Source organism: Homo sapiens, chromosome 1 (genome assembly GCF_000001405.40).
Source record: "Homo sapiens chromosome 1, GRCh38.p14 Primary Assembly".
Classification (NCBI taxonomy): domain Eukaryota; kingdom Metazoa; phylum Chordata; class Mammalia; order Primates; family Hominidae; genus Homo; species Homo sapiens.
This window is the reverse complement of record NC_000001.11, coordinates 192483126-192502332: the sequence shown is the minus strand read 5'-3', so window position 1 is coordinate 192502332 and position 19207 is coordinate 192483126. Positions and strand designations below refer to the sequence as shown.

At 37.8% G+C, this 19207-nt stretch overlaps 2 annotated features.

Moving 5' to 3' along the window:
* Positions 905-1486: an enhancer, noted in NCBI's record as "H3K27ac-H3K4me1 hESC enhancer chr1:192469977-192470558 (GRCh37/hg19 assembly coordinates)". NCBI's record gives its function as "activates a minimal SCP1, AML or CMV promoter by ChIP-STARR-seq in primed H9 embryonic stem cells {active_cell/tissue: H9 hESC(primed)}" and the evidence as "EXISTENCE:reporter gene assay evidence [ECO:0000049][PMID:30033119]".
* Positions 1487-2068: an enhancer, noted in NCBI's record as "H3K27ac-H3K4me1 hESC enhancer chr1:192469395-192469976 (GRCh37/hg19 assembly coordinates)". NCBI's record gives its function as "activates a minimal SCP1, AML or CMV promoter by ChIP-STARR-seq in primed H9 embryonic stem cells {active_cell/tissue: H9 hESC(primed)}" and the evidence as "EXISTENCE:reporter gene assay evidence [ECO:0000049][PMID:30033119]".

Sequence of the window (19207 nt, the reverse complement as noted above, 5' to 3'; positions counted from 1 at the left end):
TATGAAATTCTGGGTTGAAAATTCTTTTCTTTAAGAATGTTGAATATTGGCCCCCACTCTCTTCTGGCTTGTAGGGTTTCTGCCGAGAGATCCGCTGTTAGTCTGATGGGCTTCCCTTTGAGGGTAACCCGACCTTTCTCTCTGGCTGCCCTTAACATTTTTTCCTTCATTTCAACTTTGGTGAATCTGACAATTATGTGTCTTGGAGTTGCTCTTCTCGAGGAGTATCTTTGTGGCGCTCTCTGTATTTCCTGAATCTGAATGTTGGCCTGCCTTGCTAGATTGGGGAAGCTCTCCTGGATAATATCCTGCAGAGTGTTTTTCAACTTGGTTCCATTCTCCGCCTCACTTTCAGGTACACCAATCAGACGTAGATTTGGTCTTTTCACATAGTCCCATATTTCTTGGAGGCTTTGCTCATTTCTTTTTATTCTTTTTTCTCTAAACTTCCCTTCTCGCTTCATTTCATTCATTTCATCTTCCATTGCTGATACCCTTTCTTCCAGTTGATCGCATCGGCTCCTGAGGCTTCTGCATTCTTCACGTAGTTCTCGAGCCTTGGTTTTCAGCTCCATCAGCTCCTTTAAGCACTTCTCTGTATTGGTTATTCTAGTTATACATTCTTCTAAATTTTTTTCAAAGTTTTCAACTTCTTTGCCTTTGGTTTGAATGTCCTCCCGTAGCTCAGAGTAATTTGATCGTCTGAAACCTTCTTCTCTCAGCTCGTCAAAGTCATTCTCCATCCAGCTTTGTTCCGTTGCTGGTGAGGAACTGCGTTCCTTTGGAGGAGGAGAGGCGCTCTGCTTTTTAGAGTTTCCAGTTTTTCTGTTCTGTTTTTTCCCCATCTTTGTGGTTTTATCTACTTTTGGTCTTTGATGATGGTGATGTACAGATGGGTTTTTGGTGTGGATGTCCTTTCTGTTTGTTAGTTTTCCTTCTAACAGACAGGACCCTCAGCTGCAGGTCTGTTGGAATACCCTGCCGTGTGAGATGTCAGTGTGCCCCTGCTGGGGAGTGCCTCCCAATTAGGCTGCTCGGGGGTCAGGGGTCAGGGACCCACTTGAGGAGGTAGTCTGCCCGTTCTCAGATCTCCAGCTGCGTGCTGGGAGAACCACTGCTCTCTTCAAAGCTGTCAGACAGGGACATTTAAGTCTGCAGAGGTTACTGCTGTCTTTTTGTTTGTCTGTGCCCTGCCCCCAGAGGTGGAGCCTACAGAGGCAGGCAGGCCTCCTTGAGCTGTGGTGGGCTCCACCCAGTTCCAGCTTCCCGGCTGCTTTGTTTACCTAAGCAAGCCTGGGCAATGGCGGGCACCCCTCCCCCAGCATCGCTGCCGCCTTGCAGTTTGATCTCAGACTGCTGTGCTAGCAATCAGCGAGATTCCGTGGGCATAGGACCCTCCGAGCCAGGTGTGGGATATAGTCTCGTGGTGCGCCGTTTTTTAAGCCGGTCTGAAAAGCGCAGTATTCGGGTGGGAGTGACCCAATTTTCCAGGTGCGTCCGTCACGCCTTTCTTTGACTCGGAAAGGGAACTCCCTGACCCCTTGCGCTTCCCAGGTGAGGCAATGCCTCGCCCTGCTTTGGCTCGCGCACGGTGTGCACACCCACTGGCCTGCGCCCACTGTCTGGCACTCCCTAGTGAGATGAACCCGGTACCTCAGATGGAAATGCAGAAATCACCCGTCTTCTGCGTCGCTCTTGCTGGGAGCTGTAGACCGGAGCTGTTCCTATTCGGCCATCTTGGCTCCTCCACATATTGTTTTTTAAAGATACAATTTACACAGAATGAAATGCATAGATCCTGACTATTCAAGTCTCTGAATTTTGACAAAGGTACGTATCCATGAAAACACCACTGCAAACAAGATATAGCACAATTCCATCCCTCCAGGAAGGTCCCTTTTGTCTATTTTCAGTCAATATCTATCCTCATTCATCTACCCCAGACAGCCATTTTCTTATTTCTATCACCATAGATGAGTTTTGCCTGTTCTTGGGCTTCATATAAATGGGATGATGGAGTATGCATCCTTTTTTTGTCTGGCTTTTTTTTTTTCCACGCAGTATAGCATTTCTGAGCATTATCCATGTTGTACGTATGTATGAATATTTTGGTCCTTTTTATGACAGTAGTTTTCCATGCATGACTATAACATGTAGAATTCTCCAGAGAAATAGAACCAATAAGATTTAAGAAATTGGTTCAGTCAGTTGTAGGGGCTTGGAAAGTATAAATCCATAGGGTAGGTCAGCAGACTGGAAACTCAAGTAACAGTTGATGTCCCTGTCTTCAGTCTGCAATATGCAGGGCAGACTAGTGAGCTGGAAACTCAGGCAGGATTTCTATGGTACAGTCTTGAGGCAGAATTCCTTTTTCTCCAGGACATCTCAACCTTTGCTTTTAAGCTATTCAAGGATTGGCTGAAGGAGATGCACATTAGAGTAGGTTGCCTCCTTTACTCAAAGTCAACTAATTATATATGTTAACCACATCTATAAAATACCTTCATGGCAACATCTAGCCTGGTGTTTGACTAAACACCTGGGCATGGTAGTCTAGTTAACTTGTCACATAAAATTTACCCATCACAATGACTGCCCATTCTGAAGTTAGTGGTCTCTTGGGTTGTGTTATGGGCTGAATCATGTCCCCAGAAAATTCTTCTGTTTAAGTCCTAACTCCCAGTACCTTAGAATGTGACAGTACTTGTGAGAGGTGACAGCGTGCTGGCAGCCCTCACAGCCCTCGCTCGCTCTCGGCACCTCCTCAGCCTTGGCACCCACTCTGGCCGTGCTTGAAGAGCCCTTCAGCCCCCCGCTGCACTGTGGGAGCCCCTTTCTGGGCTGGCCAAGGCCAGAGCCGGCTCTCTCAGCTTGCAGGGAGGTGTGGAGGGAGAGGCGCCGGTGGGAACCGGTGCTGCGCAGGACGCTTGCGGGCCAGCGTGAGTTCCGGGTGGGCGTGGGCTCCGCGGGCCCCGCGGCCCCGCATTCGGAGCGGCCAGCCGGCCCACCGGCCCAGGGCAGTGAGGGGCTTAGCACCTGGGCCAGCAGCTGCTGTGCTCGACTTCTAGCTGGGCCTTAGCTGCCCCCGCAGTGGGGCAGGGCTCGGGACCTGCAGCCCACCATGCCTGAGCCTCCCCCCACCGCCATGGGGTCCTGCGCAGCCTGAGCCTCCCCAGTAGTGCCACTCCCTACTCCACAGGGCCAGTCCCCAGCCCAAGGGCTGAGGAGTGCGGGAGCACCACGTGGGACTGGCAGGCAGCTCCACCTGTGGCCCCGGCAGGCAGCTTCACCTGTGGCCCCAGTGCAGGATCCACTGGGTGAAGCCAGCTGGGCTCCTGAGTCTGGTGGGGACTTGGAGAACCTTTATGTCTGGCTAAGGGATTGTAAATACACCAGTCAGCACTCTGTATCTAGCTCAAGGTTTGTAAACACACCAATCAGCACCCTGTGTCTAGCTCAGGGTTTGTGAATGCACCAATCGACACTCTGTATCTAGTTAATCTGGTGGGGACTTGGAAAACCTTTTTGTCTAGCTAAGGGATTGTAAATGCACCAATCAGCATTCTGTGTCTAGCTCAGGGTTTGTAAATACACCAATTGACACTCTGTATCTAGCTAATCTAATGGGGAGGTGGAGAACTTTTGTGTCTAGCTCAGGGATTGTAAACGGACCAATCAGCTCTCTGTAAAACAGACCAATTGGCTCTCTGTAAAATGGACCAATCAGGAGGATGTGGGTGGGGCCAAATAAGAGAATAATCGCAGGCTGCCCTGGCCAGCAGTGGCAACCCACTGGGGTTCCCTTCCACACTGTGGAAGCTTTCTTCTTTTGCTCTTTGCAATAAATCTTGCTACTGCTCACTCTTTGGGTCCACACTGCCTTTATGAGCTGTAACACTCACCTCGAAGGTCTGCAGCTTCACTCCTGAAGCCAGTGAGACCACGAACCCACCGGGAGGAACGAACAACTCGCTGCCTTAAGAGCTGTACCACTCACCGCGAAGGTCTGTAGCTTCACTCCTGAAACTGGCAAAACCACGAACCAGAAGGAAGAAACTCCGAACACATCTGAACAACAGAAGGAGCAAACTCTAGACACACCGCCTTTAAGAACCGTAACACTCACTGCGAGGGTCCACGGCTTCATTCTTGAAGTCAGTGAGACCAAGAACCCACCAATTCTGGACACATTTGGAGATAGGGTCTTTAAAGAGATAATTTAGTTAAAATAAAGTAATTAGGGTAGGCCCTAATGTCATACTGAGCATTGCATGCACACACTAGGGGAATACCATGTAAACATACAGGGAAAAGATAGCCATCTGCAACTCAAGGAGAAAGGGCTTCGGAAGAAACCAGCTCTGCTCACATCTTGATCTGGGACTTGTAGTTTTCAAAATTGTGAGGAAATAAATTTCTGTTGTTTATGGATCCTAGTCTGTGGTACATTGTTATGACTGTCCTAGAAAACTGATACAGGTTGTTTCCAGTTTTTGGCAGTAATGAATTAAGCTTCTGTGAATATACACATTTGCTTAATGAACAAATGTTTTATTTTTTTTAGAATGAAATTGCTGTCTCGTAGAGTAGGTGTTTGCTTTTATAATCCACTATGAAATAGTTATGTAAAGCAGTTCTACTATTTTACAATTCCAGCAGCAATATATGAGAAGCGCAGGTGCTCTCCATCCTCAGCAATATTTGATTTTACCCATCACAGTGGGTCTGAAATATAGATCACTGTGGTTTTAATTTGCATTTACCTGATGAATAATGATGGTGAACAACTTTTCATATGCTCATTTTTACTAATACCTCCTTTATGAAGAAGATTCATTTTTGTATGAATACATTTTTCCATTATTTTTTGCAAAAGCTTGATAGTTTAAGCTTTTATGATTAGGTCTGTGATTCATCTTAATATACAATGTCTGGTCAAGTATTTGCTCATTTAAAAAAGTTTTAGATTTAGAGGAGTTCTTTGTGTATTCTGGGTATACATCTTTTGCTAGTCATATGTGTTGCTGTTTTTGCCTTGCCTATTTATTTTCTACATGGTAACTTTTGATGAACAAAAACTTTTATGAAGTGTATATTTATGAAATACATATATTTTTTCTTTGGTGCTTTTCATATCCTGTTTAAGAAATTTTTGCCAAAGTATATTAGTTTTATAGAGGTGCTGTAACAAAGCACTGTGAACTGGCTGGCTTACCAAAACAAAACTATTCTCTTATAGTTCTGCAGGCTACAAGTCTGAAATCCAGGAGTTTTCAGGGTTAGTTTATTTTGGAAGTTCTGAGGGAGAATCCATTTCATGTGCTTCTTGTAACGTTAGTGGTTATTGGGAATCATTGGCATTCCATTGTAATTTCTGCCTCTGTCTTCATAAGACATTCTCCCCTGTGTGTGTCTGTGTCCGTTCTCTTCATCTTATAAGGATCCCAATCATATTGGATTAGGGCCTGCCATACTCTAGTATGACCTCATTTTAACTTAACTAATTATATCTGAAAAGACTCTATTTCCGTCTAAGGTAATATTTATAAATATTTGGGGTTAGGACTTGAACATGTCCTTTTCAGAGATACATTTTAACTCACAAACTTAAGGTTACAAAAATATTTTTTTTCATTTTTCATAAAAGCTTGATAGTTCCAGCCCTTATGAATAGGTCTATGATTCATCTTAATATACAAACATTTGTACTGAATGTGATTGTGATAGAAATCAAAGTTTAATATTTTTCAAATATTTGTCCAGTAGCTGGAGGACTATTTGTTCTTATGCCCATATTAATCTGTCATGATCACAGTACCTTTGTATTAAGAACTATTTGTTCTTATGCCAATATTAAACTTTGTTCTTATGCCAATATTAAACTGTCATGATCACAGTACCTTTTTATTAAGTTTTGAAATGGAGTAGTATAAGTCCCCAACTTTATTCTTGTGTTTTAAGATCAATCAGACTAGTCTAGATCCTTTGCACTTCATATAAATTTTATAATCACTTTCATAATTTCTTCTAAAAAGCATACAGAGATTTTGATTGGGATTGTGTTGAACAGGTTAATTAGGGTAGAAAAAATGTATTAACAATAAGACATTTTCTATGTTACATATATAAAATATCTATTTATTTAGGTCTTTATTTTTTCTCAGCTAGGTATTATTTTCAGTATAGAGATCTTTTCTATTCTTGTTAGATTTATTAATAGATATTTGATTTTTTATTTTATTATAAACAGTATTTTATTACATTTTATTATAAACAGTACTACTATCTATAATAGCATGGAAAAAATCAAATATCTACCAATAAATCTAACACAAAATATGAAAGATCTCTACACAGAAATAATACTGTTTACTGCCAATATATGTCTATTTCCTCCTTTTTTTACTGCTATTGAAAACTTGTATTTTCTGTCTTTTTCATGGTCAATCTTGAGAGAGATCAATCAATTTTATCAATGTTTTCAAAGAACCACTTTTTGACTCTAATTATTGTTAGTTTTCTATTTAATTGGTCTGATTTAATTTTTATTATTTCCTTTCTTCTACTTTGGTTTTAATAGGGTCTTTTTTCCTAGCTTATTTAGATGAAAGGTTAAATAATTGATTTAAAATTTTTAAAAAATTCTGATATCCATTTAAAGCTAAACATTTCTCCTAAGTACGTTTTTAGCTGAATCCCATAAATTTCAACATATTATATTTTTTATTATCAGGTCTAAAATATTTTCTAATTTCTGCATGATTTATTTATAATCTCTGTTATAGGATTGTTGTTTCATTTTTAAATATTTGGAGGCTTTTTTAGACTTACTGTTACTGATTTATAGTTTAATTCCATTGTGCTCAAAAAAACATTCTATAAGTCTTAAGTTTTTAGGATTTCCTGAAATGTATTTTATAGTATTTCACATGGTCTCTCTTGATGAAAGTTCCATGTGCACTTGAAAAGAAAGTGTTTTATAAATGTCAGTTAAATCAAGTTAGTTGAGAGTATGGTTTAGACTGTCTATGTTGATACTTAGTTTTAAAACTCTACTTGTTCTTTTATGCACAAAAAGATTTTATAATCCCCAACTATAGTTGTTGGTCTATTATTACCTCTATTTCCATGATTTTTGTTTCACGTATTTTGAATTCTGTCATTAGATCCATATGCATTTATGATTGTTAAATCTTCATGATGCATAGTCCCTTTTATCATTACCAAATATCTCTTTTAATATCTATCTCCTTCCTTGCTTGCATTTCTTATCTGATATTAATATAGCCACACCGAATTTCATGTGCTCACCCTTTGCTTAGCACATATATATTTTTTCCTTTAAGCTTTCACTTTTTATATTTTTATTTAAGCTACAAGACTGGGTGTGGTGGTCGATGCCTGTAATCCCAAACTTTGGGAGGCCAAGATGGGAGGATCACTTGAGACCAGGAGTTTGAGACCTGGTGGGATCTTGGCTCGCTGCAACCTCTGGCCCCCAGGTTCCAGTGATTCTCCTGCTTCAGGTTCCCTAGTAGCTGGGATTACAGGCATGCACCACCATGCCTGGCTATTTTTTAAAATATTAGTAGAGATGGGGTTTCACCACATTGGCCAGGCTCGTCTCAAATGCCTGATTTCAAGTGATCCACCCACCTCAGCCCCCCAAAGTGCTGGGATTATAGGCATGAGCCACCGAGCCTGGCCTCCATACTATTTTCTATAGAGGTTGAACTAATTTATATTCCCACCAACAGTATATAAGCATTCCCTTATCCCCGCATCTACACCATCTTTTGTTTTTTGACTTTTTAATAGAAGCCATTCTGACTGATGTAAGATGATATTTTAATGTGTTTTTAATTTGCATTTCTCGGGTGATTAGTGATATTGAGCATTTTTTCATGAGTTTGTTGGCCATTTGTATTTTTTCTTTTGCGAAATGTCTGTTCATGTCCCTTGCCCAGTTTTTAATGGGGTGGTTTCCTTTTTTCTTGAGTTATTTCAGTTCCTTGTGAATTCTGGATATTAGTCCTTTGCCAGGGACATAATTTGCAAATATTTTCCCCCGCTCTATAGGTAGTCTATTTATTTTGTTGGTTATTTCTTTTGCTATCCAGAAGCTTTTTAGTTTAGTTAAGTCCCATGTATCTATTTTTGTTTTTCTTGCATTTGTTTTTGGGGTCTTTGTCATAAATTCTTTGCATAGGCTAATGCCCTGAAGAGATTTTCCTAAAATTCTAATATTTCTTAAACTTAATTACCTCATAAACTCTTAACTCAATCTTTTGATTTGGTATTATATGTAGAGTAACATTAAAGATGTAAATAATTATTAGAAACTTATTTTGGAACATTTTAAATGTGTACTAAAGTTGACAATATAATGAATTCCTATCTACCCATCACCCAGCTCAACAATTATCAACATTTTCCCATTCTTATTTGTCTATACCCTATCTTATATATGAGTTTTCTCTAGATTATTATAAACCACATAACAGATATTGCATAATTTCACATATAAATATTACAATATACATCTTTAATAGATAATTATAAAAAAGGCTTAGCTTAGCAGTATTTCATCACGAATAACAACATTTTACAAATAATGTCACATCATCCAATAAGTGGCCCAATGTTCTATTTTCTTCTTTTATCTAAAAACATGTCTTTTTACAGTTTTTTGAATCAAGATCCAAACACAGACCACATATTGTATTTAGTTAATATGTCTCTAAATGGCTTTTTAAAATAATGTCATATATTTGTTGAAGATACTAGTTTATTATTTTTCTACCTCTAGGTATGGTGGTTGTATCTCTATCACCCATATTTCCTGTAAGTTGACAATTGATAGACTTGATTAGATTCAGATTCAACTTTGGAAAAAATACTTTATAGGTGGTGCTATACATAGCATCTTTCATTGCATCAGGGGCATGTAGGGGGCATATTATTGAGTTTCACTTTTAGTGATGTTAAGATTGATCAGTAGGTTAATGTGTTGCTTGTTATATAGTGATGAGAGGCCAGATAATTTCATTACAGTTTGCCAATGGTGATTTACTAATTCTATAATCTTTTTACATTTATTAGCTAGAATTCTTCCATGGAGAAGATTTTCATTAGGTATTTGGTTACTATGGCAGATTGATTTTCCTGAAAGGCAGACATTGAGATGGAGATAAGTGGAGGGCATTTAGTAAGCATTGCTTTTGGGATCAATATTTTTTGGAAGAGAGTTCAAGATGTTCAGATACACCAACCTAGCTCTCCCTACCTCATGTGTCAAGATCATACTTTTTTCCCAGACAGAAACCTGATGTTGGTGTTGCAGACCTGCCTTGGTTGGAAGTTTAACCTTTTTTGGAGTTTTGCTACTTTTATAGGCCTCGTCATCAGCTTTTTCTGTACAGTCTGCCTTCCCACCTTAGGAGAAAAGACATGACTCCTCTTCCTCCAGTCTCTCTCTCTCTCTGACCAAGGTGACCTATGACTTTTACACTTAACTTTTATTTGTAAATTAATCACTCTTAGTTTTCATCTTTCTTCCCAGAGTGTTACTTGAGCTCACTCAAGTCTCCTTATAATTACTACTCCCCCATGTTTCACAATTTGACACATTGCACTAGCTAATGCATTTCTCTTCAGCAGTGCACCAACCTAGTGAAAATATTACCATTTGCATTGGTATCTTGTGCCAGAGGCTATTTGTGCTCCACCTGCCATCAGCGGTAGGCTCCTCATTGCCAGCTCTGGAGCAGGTTAATTCAGCTCTAAAACCTTATTTTAGGTTTTGCTTTCTTAAACCACACATGACAATAACTGCTTGCAACAGGTTAGATTTCTTGGGAAGCAAACTGTCATGGAGGTTAGCATCCAGGATACTGACTAGGGAGTGCCCTTGGGAACAGGAGTGGGCAGAGGGAGGAATTGACCTGTGATACAATTTCAGCAATGGCTTCAGCTGATCCCACAGAGAGTTCAGTGCTCTGGTAGATTTCTGAGTCATCTTCAGTTGAGAAAACAGGATTTTATACTGAACAATTACCTTGGGAAAACAGCATGAAATACACTACACACAGGAAAGACAGAACAAACAATCCATAATGCTTTCTCTTTTTAAAATCAGTATTTGAAATTTTCTAGTAATTATCAAAGGTGACCAATGAGTGTGTATGTGCGTGTGTGTTTTGTTTTTGTATAATTAGTAACTTATGGATATATATGACCTTTCCAGTCATTTTTATTGTTGCTCCAACTGTTCCACAGTTTCGCCAGTGGGAGCTGCTCTAATTGGGTTCTCTGTCTCTTTGACATGTTCCCTGTAATCCTTGATTGCTTTCTTGCTTTTCAGCACAACAAGATGTTCCAGACTTATTCAACATATTGTCCAGCCAGTCCTGGAAACAATCAGTTCCCTGAGGACAGAATTAAAGTTTAGAGACCTGAATCTGGGCCCCAGGGGTGGTCATTACTACTGGTTTGCCACTGCTTCTGTAGCTTTTCAGTGAAGAGGTAGTTATGTAATATGTATCTAAAAAAATAAATTCAAGTTATGTATTTTAAAAATAAATTCAAGGTCTATATATTTTAGAAAAAGGAAAAATCATGTGTTCATGTTAATATTTATATTTAAATATATAATTACATGTCTTAATTTATGTTGTTCTACCTTGATAATTCTATACCTCTATTATTTTGCTTTTATACCTTTTCTCCCCAAATTTTCTTAAATTGAAACTCTTGGTTCCTAATTACATGTACATACTTATTTATCTTATACCATATACATATAGTAATTTCAAAATAACAATACAAACATTATTATCATTAACAATAATGCTGCCGAATAAAGCTTGTGATTTCTTTGTGGAGATTTTCATACTTGGGATATATCTCACTAGTGATACTAAAAAAAACCTGCGTTTTAAAGTCACTCGAAATAATTTTTCCCTGTGTGGTTTTGTCAACAATTTGATATGCAGTTAGATCCCTTTACTTCAAAAAATTTTGAGTAACTGCTTAGCTTTTATTTTTGAAATAATCACAGTTTTTGATTACATAGATAGAGCATAAAGCATTTACAGGGTTCCAAAGTGTGTGTGTATGTGTACATATGTATACAAATATGTATACATGTCTATGTAAATACACATACACACACACACACACACACACACACACACACACACATATTCAGAGACATCCATCTTCTGTCCCTGTGTCTTTTGCCATAAGTAACCATCCTAATAATTTTTATTTTATCATTCTATGGTTTCAAAATAAAAGCAAATTTATAGTTATAGTCTTTATTTGAAAGTATTTCTTTAAATTCAAAAATCAGAAAAACTTTCAAACATTGTCTTATTTTGCTTGACCTGGACTTGTAATTAGATGACTATATCAGATAGAAGATTGCTTCATTTTGCAGTATTTTAGAGCCAGAGAGTAGGACAACTTTTAATCAGAGACAGCAAGTACTATAAATCCTGAAGGAAATGTAAGCGGCATCTTATAAATGGAATATCAACTCATATTCATATAGTGATTTTCATTTTACACAGTAATTTCACTATGCATTTATTAATTTAATTTTCACAATAGCCTTATAAGTTTATCTCCATTTTACAAATTTAAAAATGAGACATGGGATAAAAATGACTTTCCCCAGGCCTTCCCAAGTTCACACAGCTAATTCTTGACAGAGGTAAGAGAAGAATTCAGGTCTTCTGCCTCTAACTCTGCATCATATGATACTGCATCTCAAATTACTTGCAAATACATATGGAACTCCTGTGTGTCTTAAACCATATTTTCTGTAGTTGCCATAAGTTACTCCAAATGAGTGTTAGAATTATAAAATTCTCTATTCCCTTTTAGGAGAGTCATGATACAAATTGACATTAATTAGTCTCTAAAACTTTATGTATTATTGGAATATGTTTAATTTTGTATTTCTTAATGCTTCCCAATTTTACAAGACCACAGAACATCCCTCTACCTACTCCCGCCAAATCTGGACTAAACCTGAAAAGATATCAAAGGAACATAGCTTTTTATTAAGTGTGAGTTAATCCATGAACGATAGCTTCAATCAGCAGTAATTTTCTTAACATAATTCATGCCTGAGGATTATATTCAGTTTAGCTGGACATCTATGGCACACCATAAGCCAAATTTTGAAGATTATTCATGTTAGAATTGGATTCAGTCGATCCTTAGTGACTTAACAATCAGGCCTTAATTGAAACACACACACACATTGTTATTGACAGTGTAGAAATACTGACTCATAGAAAAATTCACCCATATTTAGTTAGCAGACTAACAGGAACAGCAGCAGCAGCAGCAGCTGGTCATGCTTCTGTGTGTTGCTAGCAACAAGAAACCATGACAGCAAGGCCCCAAACAGGAACCTCCTGCATTTTCTCATCTGTGATGAGGCACACTGATGCTGGGGATTAATGAGCCTGAAGATATAAAGCAGTGTTTACCACTGGAAAATGTCTCCTACACTAAAAGCAGAGGTAAGTATCAATGCAAACCGAGTGCAGCTATAAAGCCTTGATTTCTCTGGAAATTTATGTACAAACTAATACAAATAAATACTACATTTACTTGAAATAACATGATATTCTTTATTGTCTTAATTTTTGTCATTTTTATTATGATTATTTTAAGTCAACTTGACATATTTTTAGAAAATAGAGAAAACTGTTTTGAAGAAAGAATAGGCACTTAGTAAACTGGATTTTTTTTTTTCTTTCTTAAATTCTAAAAATTTCCTTAAGAATTAAAAACTTTTAAGAAGTAGTTTTATAGAGAGGAAGAGAAAATCTCTGGAGAGTTACATGACACTCAGAGGGTAAGGGGTAAATTAAAAACATGTGTCATGGATGAATTCTTATAAACAATGGGGCAATTAATTATAGGATTGATTTTTTTCCTAAGGTAATTTAAATTTAGTCATCCATCAAGGACCATCAAATTATTGTTTACTGAGTGCACAGGATCCTGATGAGCTCTGTGGGAAATGAAACCCAGATGTGGGGAATTCTAGGTCCATAGTTGCTGCTCTCAGTGGGATGGCAGGCCAGCAGGATCACTAGGCATATGGTAATTATAACATTAGTATCTATACACGTGTAACTACCAAGTCATTCATTAGATTAAAGCACTGAGTGCATGTGTTTGCTTGATAGGGCTGCTGTAACAAAGTATACCACAGACTGGATGGCTTACACAATAGAAATTTATTTTCTCACAATTCTGGAGGCTAGAAGCCTTAGATGAGGGTGTTAGCAAGGTTGATTTCTTAAGAGGCCTCTCTCCTTGTCTTCACCTTGTGTATTCACATGGTCCTCCCTCTATACATGTTTATGCCCTAATTTTCTCTTCTGATTGGACATTAGTCATATTAGGGCCCACTTTGCTTATTTATTTTTAATTATCATCGCTTTACAGACTCTATTTCTAAATGCATTCACATTCTGAGTTTTATAACTTCAACATGTGAATTTTGAGGGGACCTAACTCAGTCCATAATAGTGTATTTAAAAAACTAAAAGACGTTTGAAGAGGGAGATATGATGCAACTTGAGGGAGTATAGTATCAATTCAAATATCACCCCTTACCATAAAATATCTATGCTATGAATAGGCCAGCAGGCATGCAGGCTAGCAGGATGACAAGACATATGACATTGGCATGTTTGAAGTCCCAGACCAGTTTTCCAGAATAACAATTTGAATAGTATTCTATACAAATATGAATAGTATTCTATTCGAATATGAATATGAATAGAATACTATTCATATTGTTATTTGAATAGTATGCAAATATGAATATGAATAGAATACTATTCATAGTATAGAATATTTTATGGTAAGGGGAGATATTTGAATTGAGCAGTGAACAAATGGAAGCCTTGAAAAGTTAGAGAAAAAGTGGAAAGAGGTTTTTCTAAAGGGAAGCCTGTATCATCAGAGGCCAAGGAAAATAAAGCCCCTGATGGATTCAGGAGATGGGTAATACCACAGTTTGCCTACAGGGGACATAGAAGGGAAGTAGGAGGTGAGAAACTGATATCAGTTGCCCCTTCTGGGATATACCAGGAAAGACACACTTTCATCTGTACAGCATTCTTGTTCAGATTACATAAACTTTATCTGATTATCTAAAATATCCAAATTGTTATTCTGGAAAACAACTGGTCTGGGCCTTCAAATATGCCAATGCTATGAAAAATAAAAGAGTCTGGGAAACTCTTCCAGGATAAAGGAGACTAAAGAGGCAACTAATTGCAGTGTGTGATTAGTGATTGAATCTTAGGAAAACTTAAAAAAAATAAAAAGAGGCTGGGTGCAGTGGCTCATGCCTACAATCTCAGCACTTTGGGAGGCTGATGCGGGCAGATCACTTGAGATCAGGAGTTCGAGACCAGCCTGGCCAACATGGCAAAAGCCCATCTCTACTAAAAATACAAATATTAGCCAAGTGTGGTGGTGTGTGCCTGTAAAACCAGCTACTCAAGAGGCTGAGGCAGGAGAATCACTTGAACCCAGGAGGTGGAAGTGCAGAGAGCCGAGGTCGCACCACTGCATTCCAGCCTGGGCAACAGAATGAGACTCTATCAAAAAAAAAAAAAAAAAAAAAAAAAAGAAAGAAAGAAAGAAGGAAAGAAAGAAGCAAAAGATACAAAGGACATTATTGGCATAATTGGGAAAATTTGAAAATGAACTCTATATTACATTGTATGTTGTTTCCTCAATGAGATCATTGTATTATTGTTATATAGGAAAAATGCCTTTTTTCTTAGGAGATATACACTTTGGTATTTAGGGATGAACTGCAAATAATTGTTAAATAATAATAAATAACTGCAAATAATTGTTAAAGGGTTCAACACACACAAACACATACACACTGTAAGAAAATCAAATATAGGAAAGACTTGGAACCAACCCAAATGTCCATCAATGATAGACTGGATTAAGAAAATGTGGCACATATACACCATGGAATACTATGCAGCCATAAAAAAGGATGAGTTAATGTCCTTTGTAGGGACATGGATGAAGCTGGAAACCATCATTCTCAGGAAACTGTCGCAAGGACAAAAAAACAAACACCATATGTTCTCACTCATAGGTGGGAATTGAACAATGAGAACACATGGACACAGGAAGGGGAACATCACACACCAGGGCCTGTCATGGGGTGGGGGGAGGGGGGAGGGATAGCATTAGGAGGTATACCTAATGTAAATGGTGAGTTAATGGATGCAGCACACCAACATGGCACATGTATACATATGTAACAAACCTGCACATTGTGCACATGTACCCTAGAACTTAAAGTATAATAAAAATAAAAATAAAATTAAAAAAGGTTAACATTGAGGAATCGAGACAAGGAGTCTATGGATGTTATATTATTTTTGCATCTTTTCTGTTGATTTCAAAACTTTCAAAATAAAATGTGAAAGGAAAATGAATTTTATGCTAACATTTGGATGCTCACAATTTTAAATTTTACAATTTCTTGTATTTATTTGATCCTCATTGAGCATCTGTTAGTAAATCACCTTATACTCACTTCACTCTAAGTTTGTGGTGATTATTTTTGTGGAAGTATTGCTTTATGATCATCATTAATAAATATGTTAATATAGTGTGATCTCATCATTTACCCTAAAAATGATTACTGAGTTTGGATAACTACATGCCAATTTATTTTCCTCTTAGGTAACAGTGTTGTGTAACACAGTAGTCTTCTAAAATGGTCTCAATATGTACCACCATTATAAAATATTTTCTTGCAAACTTATTTTTTAAGTTCTCATGAAATTGTGGTAGAATTTGTCATGATGTAAAATTCAGTAAATATTCATTACATATGTATGATATGTCTATAACTTCACCAGGCATAGTTCCTGCCCTCAAGGAATTTATGCAATTACCAATATACAACTGGTCAGTTCACTCTAGGAAATATAAGGCAATAATGGGATGACATTTCTCATCTGCCTTAGGAATGAGTAATATGGTGTAATTTACTGGTAACAGTGAGATTTGGGGAAAGACACTTTGATAAATTACATTGAGGCCAAAGATTTGAGTTGTTCCTAAGGAATATGGCTTCCAGAAACTTCTAGCAGTAGATAATTCTTTTAATTTAGAATGTAGTAAGTGTTTTAACCTTTAGTAATTCTATAGGAAAAGTTTTGGCCAAATCAGTTCTTTGGTAACCTATTTTCTGCTGGCATCTAGAAGGAATTCTTTTTTTAAATAAGCTTTCCACCTACTAAGTTGATTAATACCTGGTCAGACAGATATTTGTTTATTCTAGAGGAGTTAGTGGACATGCACTGACTCACTCACCCACTCATATTCTTCCCTAATGTGACCTTCAGCATGTGTTTTCAAGAGCACTGGTTGGGTCAGTGCCAGCCTAAACCATGGAATAAAACCAAGTAAAATGTTGCACAATCTTAAGAGCTTGGCTGGGGAAACACCACACTCCAAATAATAAGTCTACTATTTTCTATGAAAATTATTACAGTTTATTTAATCTAGTTTTACTTTCATGGGGACAGGGGCGAATTAGCATTAATAGAAAATTCATCTCACCATTCAACAGGGTACAAATAATGCCGCCATAAAATTGAAGCAAAATTGGCACTAATGTAAATTCAAATCACTGTTTAACTTTCAATGCAAACCTGTTAACCAAAGAGAGTTGATCAGAAAGCAGACATAGTGGAATTATTTCTTAAAAATATTGTGGTGGTCCTTTCAAAAAACCTTTCAAAAAACCAGCTCCTGGATTCATTAATTTTTTGAAGGTTTTTTTTTGTCTCTATTTCCTTCAGTTCTGCTCTGATTTTAGTTATTTCTTGCCTTCTGCTACCTTTTGAATGTGTTTGCTCTTGCTTTTCTAGTTCTTTTAATTGTGATGTTAGGGTGTCAATTTTGGATCTTTCCTGCTTTCTCTTGTGGGCATTTAGTGCTATAAATTTCCCTCTACACACTGCTTTGAATGCGTCCCAGAGATTCTGGTATGTTGTGTCTTTGTTCTCGTTGGTTTCAAAGAACATCTTTATTTCTGCCTTCATTTCGTTATGTACCCAGTAGTCATTCAGGAGCAGGTTGTTCAGTTTCCATGTAGTTGAGCGGTTTTGAATGAGTTTCTTAATCCTGAGTTCTAGTTTGATTGCACTGTGGTCTGAGAGACAGTTTGTTATAATTTCTGTTCTTTTACATTTGCTGAGGAGAGCTTTACTTCCAAGTATGTGGTCAATTTTGGAATAGGTGTGGTGTGGTGCTGAAAAAAATGTATATTCTGTTGATTTGGGGTGGAGAGTTCTGTAGATGTCTATTAGGTCCGCTTGGTGCAGAGCTGAGTTCAATTCCTGGGTATCCTTGTTAACTTTCTGTCTCGTTGATCTGTCTAATGTTGACAGTGGGGTGCTAAAGTCTCCCATTATTATTGTGTGGGAGTCTAAGTCTCTTTGTAGGTCACTCAGGACTTGATTTATGAATCTGGGTGCTCCTGTATTGGGTGCATATATATTTAGGATAGTTAGCTCTTGTTGTTGAATTGATCCCTTTACCATTATGTAATGGCCTTCTTTGTCTCTTTTGATCTTTGTTGGTTTAAAGTCTGTTTTATCAGAGACTAGGATTGAAAACCCTGCCTTTTTTTGTTTTCCATTTGCTTGGTAGATCTTCCTCCATCCTTTTATTTTGAGCCTATGTGTGTCTCTGCACGTGAGATGGGTTTCCTGAATACAGCACACTGATGGGTCTTGACTCTTTATCCAACTTGCCAGTCTGTGTCTTTTAATTGGAGAATTTAGTCCATTTACATTTAAAGTTAATATTGTTATGTGTGAATTTGATCCTGTCATTATGATGTTAGCTGGTGATTTTGCTCGTTAGTTTATGCAGTTTCTTCCTAGTCTCGATGGTCTTTACATTTTGGCATGATTTTGCAGCGGCTAGTACCGGTTGTTCCTTTCCATGTTTAGTGCTTCCTTCAGGAGCTCTTTTGGGGCAGGCCTGGTGGTGACAAAATCTCTCAGCATTTGCTTGTCTGTGAAGTATTTTATTTCTCCTTCACTTATGAAGTTTAGTTTGGCTGGATATGAAATTCTGGGTTGAAAATTCTTTTCTTTAAGAATGTTGAATATTGAAAGGATCAACAAAATTGATAGACCGCTTGGAAGACTAATAAAGAAAAAAGAGAGAAGAATCAAATAGACGCAATAAAAAATGATAAAGGGGACATCACCACCGATCCCACAGAAATACAAACTACCATCAGAGAATACTGCAAACACCTCTATGCAAATAAACTAGAAAATCTAGAAGAAATGGATAAATTCCTCGACACATACACTCTCCCAAGATTAAACTAGGAAGAAGTTGAATCTCTGAATAGACCAATAACAGGAGCTGAAATTGTGGCAATAATCAATAGCTTACCAATCAAAAAGAGTCCAGGACCAGATGGATTCACAGCCAAATTCTGCCAGAGGTACAAGGAGGAACTGGCACCATTCCTTCTGAAACTGTTCCAATCAATAGAAAAAGAGGGAATCCTCCCTAACTCATTTTATGAGGCCAGCATCATCCTGATACCAAAGTCGGGCAGAGACACAACCAAAAAAGAGAATTTTAGACCAATATCCTTGATGAACATTGATGCAAAAACCCTCAATAAAATACTGGCAAACCGAATCCAGCAGCACATCAAAAAGCTTATCCGCCATGATCAAGTGGGCTTCATCCCTGGGATGCAAGGCTGGTTCAATATACACAAATCAATAAATGTAATCCAGCATATAAACAGAACCAAAGACAAAAACCGCATGATTATCTCAATAGATGCAGAAAAGGCCTTTGACAAAGTTCAACAACCCTTCATGCTAAAAACTCTCAATAAATTAGGTATTGATGGGACGTATCTCAAAATAATAAGAGCTATCTATGACAAACCCACAGCCAATATCATACTGAATGGGCAAAAACTGGAAGCATTCCCTTTGAAAACTGGCACAAGACAGGGATGCCCTCTCTCACCACTCCTATTCAACATAGTGTTGGAAGTTCTGGCCAGGGCAATTGCCCTGGCAGGAGGCAGGAGAAGGAAATAAAGGGTATTCAATTAGGAAAAGAGGAAGTCAAATTGTCC